Here is a 14,921-nt window from a genome sequence, read left to right on the forward strand (position 1 = left end):
TCTGTTTGTTGTAGGTTTAACTGGGATGGGCAGGGGATTCTCATTATTAATCAATGTCTTAATAAGTATTTATTATGTTAAATACTAATAAAGTCCAGTGAAATTAATTCTGAATGAATATACATGAAAATTCCTTTTATATGTAATATTAATTAACACATGAACATTTTATTCTAACTTCGATTTTTATTTAACACATGCCCATGAGTTGACAGAAAGCTTTTGTTGACAGAAGTAGTATTATGTATTTGCTGATGTGTTGATCCAAAATGTAAAAATGTTTACAAAGGGCCATTAGAAAAGCCCGAACACCCCCTGATGTACAAGTGTCCCTATTTTAAAAGAAATCTACCTGTGACTCCAAAGAGACTATGTTAGATAACTGTGTGCAAAATCACAGAACTGGTCTTGGACAGACATGGAGAAAGGTTGAAGCACATCTCTTCTGCATTTGAAAGAAAAAGAGGGAAAGGAGAAAAGTCATTGACAATGGGGATGATAATGATGATTGGTGCTTGAGAGAAGGGCCCAAGAAGTTTTATCAGTAGGAGAAATTTTTAACAAGGCTGAAAATGTGTTACCAGCTGTGGAACAGCTGCAACTGGGGAAAAATTGCAAAACATTTTGTCTGATCCAATTCTCATAACCCTGTTGTTGGGGGAGAAAAAGTGTATGCAGTATCTCCAGCTTTTCATCTGGTTCATTTAGACAAGCTTGAAAAACACAAACTGGAAGTAAGTGTTAAACAATAATTCTGTCCTCTGAGCAATTTGAATCTTACCAGCACATTCTAAAGATAGCTGTCTCAAAGCTTGTGTCCACTTTATGTCTATATTCTAAAAGCACTTTCACAAAAACTTTTTCAATAGTGTTGAGCATTTCTCATGGTAAAGGTTTGTGGTGGACTCTAAAGATATAAATATGAATAAGACAAGGCCTTTGTTCTTGAGATTGTAGTTTATTAATATCTTTCTAGAAATACAAACACAGTAATAAGGCATAGTGTCATAAAATTTATAGTAGAGTAATAAAGAGACATGAAAGAGAGTGAAAGGGACAAGTTTTTTCACTCCATGTAAAAGGATATGGGAAGAGGCTCTAAAGAGGGGGCGCTTTAGAGCTGAGCCTTCAAGAGGGTGGGAGAGTTAACCTGATGAAGGAGAGAAGACAGTGTGAGAAGTCAGAGGATGATATGAACATTACTGCTGTGCTATAGACTGAAAATGTGCTTCTATACCAGACTCTCCTATTTGTAGCCAAAGATTTATTGGGCAATACAAATTAAAACTACCTCTCAAATTGTTGCCTGGGAAACACTATGTAATGACTGGTTCTCTTTTAGTACACAATTGTTAAAACAAACTAAATATGGCTGAGAAGGACCCCATACTTCTATATGTGAATCCTGGTGGAGGAGTGGATGGACTGTAACCTAGCTTAATAGTCAGACAAAATTGAAAACCTAACTTAGGAGTATGCACCTGTAACGATAACTGAGTCTTGGGCAACCCAGTGGCCATACTTCAATCACTAATAGACTGCTAAGTGTTCAAACTGTGTTCAAATAAGGTAAACGCCAACCTGTAACCAACCCAGCTGTTTCTGTACCTCATTTCCCTTTTTTTGTCTATAAATCTTATCCCACCATGTGGCTGCACTGGAGTCTCTGTGAATTTGCTGTGATTCTGGGGGCTGCCCAATTCGCGAATCATTCATTGCTCAATTAAACTCCTTTAAATTTAATTTGGCTGAAGTTTTTCTTTTATCACAATTAATAACCATAACAAAATTCAGTGACAATATGCTTAGGTTCAGAAAACTTCAGCACCAGGTCTCTCTGGGATAGCAAGAAAGCACGAGTTCAGCTGCTAGACTTTTGTCTTCCAGGCACTCTCTGAGCATAACAGAGACATAGTATTAAGACACTAATATTTTTCCAATTAGACACATGTGCCACAGGCCTTCTCTGATGTTTCTGCTGTTAAATTTCATGTGAAACTACATAATGCCCAGCTACAAATTTTTGTAGCTTCTGAAGATCTTCCTCCAACTTAAACAAGTACCACATCCCTGTAGTGCCCTTGTAATTTTTCATGAAAATAAAATCTCCCCCGCTCCCCCCAGACAAGTAAACTAATTTATCATCATGCAGGGTTTGGCAGCTGGCTCTGTGGTGTCACTCCCTGACACCTAAATGTGCCACCTCTAATCACCCCTTTTGGTCTATCGCCACCTAGGGAAAGAATGGAAATAGTTACGTGAACCCCCTTGTGGTACCTGGGAAGCAAATTTAGAAGAGCAGCATAGTGTGTGATTTCTTACAGAAAATTTTCAAAGAAATCTGTTCATCAATCAAAGCAATCAAGTCTTTAGGGATCCTAGTATGGTATCAAGTTTCAAATTCAGCCTATGGGTGGAGAGTGGTAGCAAAGATCAATTTCCTTGATATCTAAAAGCTTAAACATAACAGCAGTTGCAATTATTTAAACAATATTCTGTTAAAAAAATGCTTTTCTTCTTATTAAAATAACTTTAATACAACTAATTCCATCACAATAATAATTCTAATATTAAATTTGGCATTGTATTAATAACAGATAGATGGAAAATATAGAAAAAGCCAAAGTAGAAAATTAGAATGACCTATTTTGTAATTCTAAGAGATTTTATAATTTTGATTGCATTTTTCCTATTATTTTATGTTCATGTATATTTAAAACACTGAGATCACAGTGTGCATATTGTTTTATACTAGCACACAATCCCTTAAATTTTTTATATTTCTCCCTAGTCTTTTTCTATACCTATTAGGTGTCATCGTATTTGTTTGTATTTCTGGCCAATTTTTTCACTAATTATTATTTTGTAAACATTCTTATTGTTTTTACAAAATCATAATGACTGATTTTAATCGCTATCTGATATCCTACTATATATAGGAAATATGTATATATCCTACTATATATAAATATCTGTTAAATGTATTTGGGTGATTTAAAGCTTTAATTATTATAAATGTGGTTTCTTAAAATTTTTTTGTATTTAAAACTGCATTCTTCTTGTTGCTACCTGGTTCCACAGTGGCCATAGAATATAGTAAATTGGAGTGATGTAGCCATAGGCTTCCTAGGGCAAATAAATATTGTATAAATATGATGCAATGAATATATAGAGACAACTTTAAAGCACCTCACTGTGAGTGACTGGGAAACAGTAGCAGTATAACGCTCAATTTTGTCTCAGCTATCATAATTGCATGTTCCATAGGTAATCATCAGTAATTAAAGAGGCAAAGATGCAAATCATGCTATGGCCTACAAAGAGTAGTGGTTGCTGTAGTACCCACGGTTGTCAGCGAAAGTTATCAGGGGCCATAATATTCCAATAAAATGTGTTTATACTTCTCTCTGTTCTTAATACCACATACTTGGCTATTCACATAAGAAAGTCTTAGAATATCTAAGTAGAGTTTATTGAGACTGTTATCAAAATAACTTGTTTTTACTAGTTTGTTTACAAGGCTAAGGGCTTTTCTTGAATGAAATGTTGATGTTCTAAACTAATAAAGGTGTGAAAAGAATATCTGTCCTTTAGCAAGACCATGAGAATTAAGTGCCACTACCTTCTAATATGAAGGAACACGTGTACTATAACAACATGTGTATATAACAATCATACCCCAGTGTAAGAAGGCTGTATAATTCCCTTCCTTCCATAAATAAAAAACAGAGCCAAATATGTTTGGATCATGGTTTCATGTAATAGTGCTCTTTGATAAAAATAGACCTGAATAATGAATACTAAATAGGAAGCTGACTATATGAACAAGAAAGAAAATGCATGCCTCATATCAAGGAAGCCAGCCACTAGCATTAATAGCAAGCCATGGAATTAAGCTCATTAAAACATTTGCCTAAAGGAGAAATCTAATTTATTTCTTGTATTTATTCATGTTGTATGATTAATAGAAAGCATGGAGGTGGATTTCCTGATCAGGAGCATGATTTTAATCTGCACAGAATACTTTTATATAGTTTTCTTACATGAGCATTACAATTAAGTTCAATTGATGGTATTCAAGATTTGAACTTTTATTGTAAACAAAATAAGCACTCTTTGTTCTTTCTTAACCTTTAATCGGGCCACTGAGGGAAATTCTGTGCTTTTAAAAGTTAACTGTGACAGACAGAATCGTCTATCTGGGTTCATAGACAAAATCTATGAATCTCCCATCTTCCAAACCCTCTGTCAAATTCATTCTTTTAAGAGTCTCCTGAGTTATTTAATAAAACTCAGTCGTAATCAAACCAGTCAAATACCTTGTATGACTACAGACAGACTCTAAGATGCGTTTCAAACATTCCAGCATTACAAATGCACAATCCTATCGAGATAAAAAAAAATCTTAGCATTTTCAGAGGGATTTTTAGTTTCCTTCACACATACATTAGTCATGCCTCAATATCTGTGTACATTCTAGCCCTTCTGCCTAGAATACCCTTATTTTCCATAAAAGAACTCCTACTCATTCCTGAAGATTTATTTCCCATGTCAACTCTGCTGCAAAGCCCACCATGACTACCTTAGATAAGATGTCACAGTAGAGCCATAATGGGTTAAAACCACAGTACCTGGGTTGGATTACAGTCTCTATCTCGTGATGCCTCAATGGTTTCATCTGTAAAATGGAGATAGTAAAAGTAGCTACCTCATAGGCTTGTTGTGATGGTTTTACAAGTTAATTAATACATGCAGAGCCCTTTGGATTTTGTAAATTCTTGATAACTATTAGCTATTTTTAGATAGTATTGTGCACACCACCACATCCAACTAATTTTTAAATTTTTTTTTGTGGAGACGGGCTCATTGCATTGCCCAGGCTGTATATTCTTATATATTCTTCAATTATAGAACCGTTTCATTATGCTGTAACGTCTCTTTATATCTATCCCTGCCTCTAGATGGAGAGCCACTTAGCTTGCAGACTGCCATCTCCCTAACGTATCAGAACAATGAACTTGGTTCCAAGAGTATAGAACTCAGTGAATGTAAAATGGATGAATGTATGAATTAATGCATAAATCAATAAATGAACCCAGATGAATAATATGCCAAAGTTGTTTCTGTATATCTCTGTGATACAAATAAACATATGCTCATTCTATTAGCCAAGTATTTGTGGATTTGTATTGGTGAAATAAAATATAGAAAACTCTTTTTCTTATGCCTTGACCCCAAAAGCAGTGTCATAACCCTTTTACTTATGGTGCAACCAATAATAGGATTGATGGAAAAACCATCAGTCCTGTTTCCTTTTAAACCTGCTCAGTTCATATTTGACTTTAGCATATGCTATTTTACTCCATGTTTTATTTTGTCACAGGTTAGACATCTAATTCAGCATAAGAAGAAATCATTACAGTCAACATTTATGGTCACTAAGAAATAAATGTATCTTTTGTGTTCTCTGAGAGAAGGTTTGCTTCATTTATTCTTTTCTCTCGATAAATGCTGTTTTCTAATGCCTTTGTAATGATAGAGACTTAAGGATGGGGAAAAAATCTGGATACTTTCTTCTCTGTGTCACTTTGTATAAAGACTTCTTTACAGCCATGTTCAAATGATTTATGTACATATTGTAGATGCAGTAGCAGCAATTATAGAGCTATCCCTACCACTTAACCTGCAACATTCTGAATGGCCATTCACTGGCCACTTAAGCTAACATCTGCTGCTTTGGTAGTCTAATATCCAAATAGAATGAAAAACCGAAAGGGTAAAACTCCAGTAGGCTTGTTCACTTCAATAGGTAATGGTGGCATGTGTGTGTATGCATGTGTGTGTGTGTTTTAAGTCTTAGTTTGCATTATCCAAAATTATCTGTTTTTTATCTTTGCATAACTAAAACACATTTGTCTTTTCCACACTTTTTTTTTCCTAAATTGGAAATCAGACACAAGAAAAAAATATAAACACTGTCCACTGCGTACTTTATTTAAGGGAGGTCCTGTTGTTTTACAGTTACTCTCAGCCTCCCAAACATAACATTAACAATGTTTGATACTAATAATTTTTCACAATGCTGGAAAGTTTAACCAACTAAGGCAAATACAAATAAAAATACCTGTGAAATTACTGAATCTATGTAACAAAACTAGTTTCATTAATGCTCTTTTGGATCTAATTGGCAGCTTAATGATTGAACCATTGACTTTTAAGGCTATCAATAAGATCAGAGACCAGTTTATCTAAACAATTTTAAATATTTCATCATTCTTTCTGATGGATTCCTTTCTTCTCCTTCCTCTCTCACCGCCTTTATTTCATGCCCCCATTGTTTTTCCCTGATTCTTCATCAGATCTCAGCTGCTGCCCCAGTGCTCCACCAGGCTAGCCTCTCCTCAACTGCCAAAATTGTCTTCTTTACTCATTACTTTGCCCATACCTCTTATCTTATCCCCTGGTGACTTTACAATGTCCTGCATATTGCAAACATCTTCTCACACTCAGCTTCAGAAGGATCTAAGAGAGAGCACCAGACATCCTCCTTCAAAGTCTCAATACATGCCTAAATCTCCTGTCACCCAAGTCTCTTCAAAGTCCCTCTTATTATAGTTAGTAAAGCTCTTGTCTTTGTTTCTGGGCTTTTCCCAAAGTACCACTTACTACTAGGAACTCCCTTTTCTCCCAGAATGCCTATATGTGATTTCTCCAGCATGACAGCCTCAGGGCAGTGAATCCTCTTACATGGCAGCTCAGAGTTCTTGGACAGAGTGTTTCAAGAGGCTCAAGTGGAAGCCACAGGGTTTATTAGGACCTAGACTTGGACTTTCCAGAGCATCACTGCTGCAGCCTCTACTGGTTAAGCAAATCACTCAGACCAACTAAGAATAAAGGTGGAGGAAATTAGACTCTACTTCTGGCTGAAAAGAATTGCAAAGAATTTGTAGCCATTATTTTTATTTTATTTAAAATATCTTATTATTAAGATAAGTTTTGTCTCTTCTAAATTATAATATCCAAAAGTAACAGGATAAATTACAATTTGACATTTGATAAATTATTTTAAATTACAAAAATAATTTTTCTGATTTTAGCAGATATATTGAAAATAAATAAATGTATACATAAAATACATATTCACACAATAAAATATGCAAACTTTTGAAAAAGTACCATTTAATACTTTCACATAACATGCTCAGCACATTTTTTTAATTTTAAGCTAAAGAGACTATGATCTTCTTGAGAACAGTGTATATTTCATTTTTATATCCCTAGCAACTCTCTCAGAGCTTGGTACATGGTATCTTCTCAATAAATGTTTGTTAAATTGAATTGAATTAGTCCTGGATTTTGAGGTTGACGTAGCCAATTTATTGACTTCTCTGAATGTGTTGTGAAGGAGAAGAAAATATAGCAAGAAAATCCAGCCTCATCAAGGGAGAATCTAATAGTAGCAAGTGGTATACATACCAGTTAATATGGTTCCAGGAAACACAGGTGATGGTGTTAGTAAATCTTTCTTCATGCAGTAGAATGTTCAAGAGATCGTCCAGTTAACATAAGCTCATGTCTAAATTACTGCAAGAACTGGATAGCAAATATTTTGGATTACTTCTGATAAGGTTTGGTTATTTTGTAGGAAAGGGGAGTAAATAAAAGAATTCTATGAGGCCTATTTGTCTTTAGAGAAAAAACAAGCTAACAAAGAGTCAATTGTAAGAGTTGACATAATTTTTTTCCAATTCACAGCTTTTAATATGCCAAAGTAAATTAAAACATCCTTTTAATCTTGGATGGAATTTGCTTCTTAAAGCTATGATCTTGTGTTTCTTTGTTAATTTCATATTTAAAAAATTCTTGGCCCATAAACTTGTTTTATAAGCAGAGCCACCATTGTTCATTGTGTAATTTGAGAATCTCTGGGGCTATCCTCTTGCCATCTCACTGATTCCAGAGTTTTGATTAGAAGGGTGGGCATATTTTGTAATTTGTTTTTATCCTGAGGCAATTTTATGAGATTTCACATTATAGTACTTCTTAAGTTTAATTCTATTTTTTCTGCATGTATTAGAAAAAAAAAATCACCTCTTACTTCCAAAAATCCTATCTACTTATTATACTTGTTTGTCTGTGTTGTTAGAATAATTTATTTAAAAATTCTTTTAAGCAATCATTAGATTTTATATCATATCTTTCCATTTTATTAATATTAGTTGACAATACTTGGTTAAAGCCAATTTAAAGAACTGAAGTACAAATTATTGCTATAGGTTTCCATGACATACTTTCCAAAGACTTTTCTGTTCCTGGTGTGCAGACTTGAAAACTAAGGCATAAGATACTGGAATAACTCACCAAGGTCATCTATGAGAATAGCCGACCTGGAGAGATTATTACCATCCCGTGATTCATTCTATCTCTTTCTAGTTCTGATATCCACCTTTAAATATCTTTTTCAACATGAATAAATTGTCAGCTTCTTATATTTAAAACCATACACTATAGACTTCCCATTGGAGACTCACAATTTTACTGGCAATGTGTTTTAATTGCTAGCTATTTTCATATTCCTTGTATTTATTTTCTTATTGTTAAATTATTCCTTTGCATATATACACACAAATTTCACATATATGTGGATTTTTTTTCCCAATTTCTCAGCTCTTGTTCTCCCACTCTCACTTTCTAAAAACTTGCAAATAACTTAGTTTTCTGCTGATTCTTTCCTTCCATTGGGCAACCTTTTTATTTCAATGTTTTTGAAGTAATGCAGTAAAAAAAAAAAAAATGGCTGCCTTTTGTTTACTTCCTTGTACATTAGCATGGGTGACATGATCAAATATATTAACTAGGATGTACATATCTTAAGAACCCAGAAGTATACTATAAGCCCTTTTCTTTTAATGCCCCAAAGTTTTGCAGCTTTAGCATAGCTCTAATGCTGTGCTAAAAATGAACATGAACATTTTGGGACAAATGCATTAAAATGGTGGTATCTAAAACATATATGAATATTTCTTTCAATGTTAAGAAAAACCCATCAAAAGGTATTTATTTAAGTCATAAACATTTATTTAAGTCATAAACATTCTAGATCAATGCTAACCCTACAAATAATATCATAAAGAAAGGTATTAACTCATTGTATTTAAAAGCTAAGCTACTTAACCATACTTACCTATTCTGGTTTTAAATTATTTTTAAAACTTTCAATTGACACACAAAAAATTTTGAGTTATAATATTTTTTGCCCCAAAAGAATTTCTTACTAATGGAAGGCTTAAGCAAATATACATATATATGTATATTCACTTTTTAATTACTGAATTATTTATAAGTGCCGTTAAGTTACTATATATCTAACTACTCAGAAAATTTATTTTCTCATCTGTATTTATAGTGCTTCTGACTTTTCCTTCTGTGTGTGTTCTTTGTTGCACTTCGCATGTATTTGTCATAAGATTTTCACTGAGACTTAAAAGTAACAAGCTTTCAAACATCATTTTAATTTAGACAGTCATTAAAGAGATAAGAAATCGATGTTTTAAAATAAGTTCCAATAACTAAATAGTTCTGTATTTGGAAATCCAAATTCCATTTTCAGTTTTTAAGAAATAATTTTATATATTTAAAAAAATTTTTAGAAAGGCAATCTGACTACACACACATACACACACATATTTGTATATATATTAATGTAATATTTGTGTGGTGGAAAATTCCTGTAAATGTTGGATAGTTTTCCCTGAAACTACTTGTTAACATTGAAATCAGATAAGGTAAATCATATGTTTTATTGAGGTAAGCTGTCTAAAATAAGTTACCGCAATTTTAAAAATTAATAAAAACCATATGTCCTTTAGAACTTAAATTGAAATCTGCATTGTTCCTTTAAGTCAGCTGTTCTAGGAATGTGTCATCTTTTGAAAAGATAAATTAATCATCTACTTCATCTATATACATTAATAAAAAAGATTCACCTTCTCATCTACTTTATCAAAAGTAATTAGTATATCTATTTTTATTCACATATAGTATCTTTTAGTGATTGAGATTTTAATTGAGGATATTTTGAAGGAAACAGCAATTATCTTTTTACAAAAAACAAAACACCAAGAAAAAGAAATGCCAGCAATCTAATGGTTAAAACATATTGCCAAATCATTCAGTAGCGCAAGGCTCTTTAATAACATTTGTACAAAAGTACTTTCAGAAAATATGAGATAGGAAATGGCTTTTTGCAAGTTCTCCTTCCTTAAATTATTATTCAACCTCTTATTAAAATAAAATCTAGTTAACTTCTTTTGGAGCTTGCTCAAACATTTTCTATAATAAAAAAAAATCTTGTGAAGGGATTTCCATAAGTTGTGCTGCATTAATGACTTAGAGCAGCTTCCTTATCTGTTATTCCTTCCTCCTAGTAGACCTCAGATGATAAAAATATCCATAGACACAGTGAAGTCAGTGGCACGCCTGGCTCTCTCAGACAAAACTCCATGTGATCACATATAGGCAGCCTCAGTGAGGCTGATGCCGTGCAGCAAGCAGTAGGTAATGAGTCTTTGTGCAGAGTGAAGCTCTTGTTGCTGAACAATAAAGCATATGGTACAAGCAATAAAACACAGGGCTGGGAAATTTAAGAAGATTCCTCTGAACCAGGAAGAACTGTGTCTTCGGTGATGCTGACACATATGATAAAATGATCATTTATTTTGGATCCTAATGAATAAAGAGTGCAAGGACTAAGACTACAGTTATTTGAACAGGTTGGTGATTTTATAAATTACTCCAACACTTCCTTGTGTTTGACTGGATTTAAATTAGAATGGGCTGGTGTGTTTTGCCTTAAACAAAAACTTTGCAAGATATTTGTAGTGTATAATATTAAGGATGCACTTGAATTGACCCAATGCGATTAAATTGTCGATGTAGTCAGATGTGACAGAGAAATGTTGATATCATTATATTAAACTGAAAAGTTATTTAGTCTATTTTAAAAATTTATGGGTAAGAAATAAATTCATCCAATAATTTTTAATCTCCTGTGTATGCAGAAATAATATAAAAGAGAATACTACTGACAAATAGTTCACATAAAAAGCTTCAAAATTATTTTTCCAGTGTTAAAACAATCTGTATTGCAATAGTTTACATGTCTTATAAATTAGATAATATATCATTCAAAATTTGTTGATGTGTGTTAGTATACTGCAAAAGGAAGGTTTGGAATATTTAATTATTTGAATTAAAAAATTTAAAAACAAGGAAATTTTGAAATGTAAATAACACTATTAGAACAATGTATTTTATACTTTAGTAACACATATCTGTATTTATTTGTTGTGTGCTTTTAATTTTTCATGTTATATTTCTTTTGACACATGAAAAAGATTATTGCACAAAACCTTTTATTTTATAAATATTATTCATTGATATTTAGAGAAAAACAAATTTGCTTAATTTTTAAGAGAAGAGATTATTTGATGATGCATATTTTCATTGGCTTACCATTTAGAAAGATTATGTGTCTTTATGTATATTTATAAAATATGTACACACATGACTTTTTCTATGTAGAAAATAACCACTTCTTCCATTTATGAGCAATAGAGAAGTTTATGTTTCAAATAGAGAGATTGTTGTGTGTAGAAAAATAAGGGAAGAAATAACTAGCAAATAATAGCACAACACTGAATATCTTTGCCAAAGACAGACAAGCATTGCTGCTATATGAATCTTTAGATTTAAATACATAGTTTAACTTTGCTCTACATTTTGACTGCTGTATTGTTTTAAAGGCATCCTGGGACCTAAATTCTTTACAATTAATTTTTGGACACCACTTAGGATGATAGTCTCTAAGACACTTGGGCACATTTAACATTTTACAGAATTACTATAGTGACCTCATGTATTTGTGTAGTGACTAATATAAATTTACGCCTGTAAGATGCTGTTTAAACCACAGCAACAAAAAGAAATACCCCATGTGCCTGATTATACGTGCAATATGTATTTGAATTTAAAAAAAAAGCTGTGTTTCAAAAACAAGGGAAGTTAATGAAAATTTAAAATTGGCCTTCCACACGTATTTAAATGAAGCATTTGACTATTTGGGTTTCCTTGGTTACCATAGTCGCTGCTGACAGCTTCTCTTGGTGGGGAGGGAGTAAGCAGTGAGAATAGGACTCTAAAACAAAGCGTTAAAATCGTTTATCCATTAATAGACACAGGGAAATGTGATGCTGACAGCCCAGTAAAACCCGTGCCCACTCCCCATCCTGTATTCCTGCTCTCCCGTGATTCAGGTAGCCTGGCAGAACCGCAGTTCCACAATTCCTTACCCAGCATTCCGTTTCAGCTGCTGGAGGACTGCCTGAGCCTTATGCAAATGAGACCAGCTCGGAGGCTTTGACTGCAGAAGCGAGAGGAGGGGGCAGAAGGGAGTTCAAAGGTCACAGGGCTGGTGGAAAGCTGGATCAGTTGCCTGAAAAAAATGTACTGGGGTTCTCTGCAGCAGTGTTTTGCAGCAGTTAAATGAAGTGTGCTTTATTTCTGAGAGTGAAGATTTTACAGCGTGTGTGCCGTAGTCGTTATATAGTGCACGCAGGTATGGTGACATTTCATGATGCGCCTGATTTTATTTCTATTAAAGACACTGATGGGCATTGGCTATTTTAATTCATCGTGGCAATTGGCAGGGTGTTCCTGGTTTTCAGGATTCCCTTAACTAGTTTATTTTTTTAATTTTCTTCTTCGTATTTCTCTACTTGAAACATGGGTGTTTTGTTCCAATAGAATAATTTCATGTGAGAAAAAACTGGGTTTAGGCTTCTAAATAATTCCATTTCGGGGGTAAGTTCTTTATTGAAGAGAGATCTCTGAGCTGAAACATCTAGAAAAATATTGAGGCTTACAACTTTTAGAGGATTTTCACATTTTTTAAAGAAATGTATTTAAAATAAGATCCGAGTTCCTAGCCTAAGATTATTGTGATGTATCTGGTATTAAATAATGGAGTTCTTTTGTTCATATCTCACACAATCGCATAAGGACAATTTTAATAAGTATATTTTCATTCCATTTGAAGGGTTTTGGTTTTGAGGGTTTTTGTTCTATATTTTATTGCCAAATATCTTCTCAGAGCAATAATTTCTTCTATTGGGGCTAGATCCTTTAAACCTTTCTTTGATTTTTCTAATTGTTATAAATTCTCTTTGGGACTTTTTGGATAATGCTATTTGAATTTAACGTGTTCAACTTCCTATGACTTTTCCTTTCAGTTAAGTCTGCATTGTAAAGGGATCCTTATAAATGTCACAGACAGGACAAAAGTCTTCTTTCCATGCACGAAATATCACACTTTTGTAAAATGTGTGATTACATCATAGGAAAGTCTGTCCTGCACCAAATAAATGTGTACTCACTTTTATTGTTCATATTTTTTTATTTCTAAAACATATTTTCAAACAAACTTAATTAAAACAGTACAATCAAACTGTTTATTCCTATCATTAAAGCACTTAAGTATATCAATTCAGCAGTTACAATGTTGATTAAAAAATGTTATTTTCATTTGCATCAACTGTGCATCTGTCTATTACAGGTTGTATGTGTATGAAAATATGTTGGAAAAGATGAAGAGGCAAAAATAGCTTTTAGCCATGAAATGACTGCTTTATGTTTTTATATTTGCATAAGATATTTAAAAATGAATTTTATGAAGCTTACATACAAAGAGCTAGTACATATTTAGTTAAACTTAATTACTTTCTTTGCCCTGAAAAGAGGGAGTTAATTTTATTATAATGATTAAGATGAGGTATTTTGGCAACAATATGTTTTATTGTAAAATAGAGGGGGGATTGAGGAGGAACCACAACAGGAGGATAGCTATTTAAAACAGTGAAGGACAATTATTTCAAATATTTATGAAATTCACTTAGTGGTTATTCAGGGCCAGATTCTCACCCTTTATCACTCTATGGGGACATTATGACATTTATCCAGGATCCTGAGACTAATTTAGGAAAAGGAATTCATGTTTTGTATGAGCTTTTAAAAAATTCAAAAACTGACATTTTCTTCTAAAGTGTTTCTCTTTTGAAACTTTCAATAATGACTTTAGGTAAAAGGGTTATTTTTTAAATTAGCTATTTTCTTTTTATGTTGGTCAGAATATGCTGTCCTCTGGTCCAAACAATATTTATAGGCTTTGCTTTTATACCTATATATAGATATATAATTGTTTTTTATATATGTATAAAACAATAAATATATACATATAATTGTTTTATATATGCATAAAACAATATATATATACACACACATATGTGTAACAATATATGTATGTTATACATATTATTGCATATATTATGTATATACACACACACACACATATATATATTTCAAGCAGCCAAAGAAAATATTTTCAGTGGTAAATCATATTTAATTCAACAATTTTTTCTTAAAATGTTTAATTTTATATTTAATTCAGTAGCGCCTGTAGTTTGTGTCTACTAATCCCTGCGTGTGTTTTAGGCAGAGAGGGAGAAAAGAACCAAGTTTAACATTCATTTAGGTAGTCCAGTACTTTTAACTTTGTAAATGCAACTGCTACCACAGAGCATGTTCTGAATATGGAAATAAAAACAGTGTGGGCAAAGAAGGAAAGCCCATGAAGATTCTTGGAGAAAACGTGATAATAGACAAATGTGAAATAAAGAGAATTGTTGTGATTCTGTGAGCCACAAGAGAGCTATATATGTCCTGCAGCTAATTTATGGCTTTGAATATCCTGGATAATTTATGTCTCTATGCAGATTCACTCAAAACTTTGAAGTCTTTTGCAATAGCTCGAGCCATACTACTTCCATACAAATCTCAGCAGCATATACACAGTAAGTCTGTGGTCT

General features: G+C 32.9%; 1 protein-coding gene across 6 annotated transcripts in view, besides 1 other annotated feature; it reads left to right on the top strand.

Moving 5' to 3' along the window:
- The window catches only part of CSRNP3 (cysteine and serine rich nuclear protein 3), a 219,710-nt gene that overhangs the window by 92,118 nt on the left and 112,671 nt on the right, over positions 1-14,921 (top strand). Inside the window, exons 1-2 of one of the 6 annotated variants that reach the window (XM_047445907.1) lie at positions 12,392-12,616; positions 14,829-14,906. The exons of 3 other annotated variants lie outside the window; for them this stretch is intronic. In XM_047445907.1, the coding sequence (XP_047301863.1) occupies positions 12,544-12,616; positions 14,829-14,906 (151 nt within the window). In that variant the 5' untranslated portion in view covers positions 12,392-12,543. Of the gene's footprint in view, positions 1-10,520; positions 10,773-12,391; positions 12,617-14,828; positions 14,907-14,921 lie in introns of those variants that run through there. 2 more of the 6 variants (NM_024969.3, NM_001439057.1) reach the window with 2 other exon arrangements.
- Positions 12,190-12,390: a silencer, noted in NCBI's record as "peak3912 fragment used in MPRA reporter construct". NCBI's record gives its function as "represses an SCP1 promoter by STARR-seq MPRAs in K562 erythroleukemia cells {active_cell/tissue: K562}" and the evidence as "EXISTENCE:reporter gene assay evidence [ECO:0000049][PMID:32103011]".

The sequence above is a fragment of the Homo sapiens genome, chromosome 2, assembly GCF_000001405.40.
Source record: "Homo sapiens chromosome 2, GRCh38.p14 Primary Assembly".
Lineage (NCBI taxonomy): Eukaryota > Metazoa > Chordata > Mammalia > Primates > Hominidae > Homo > Homo sapiens.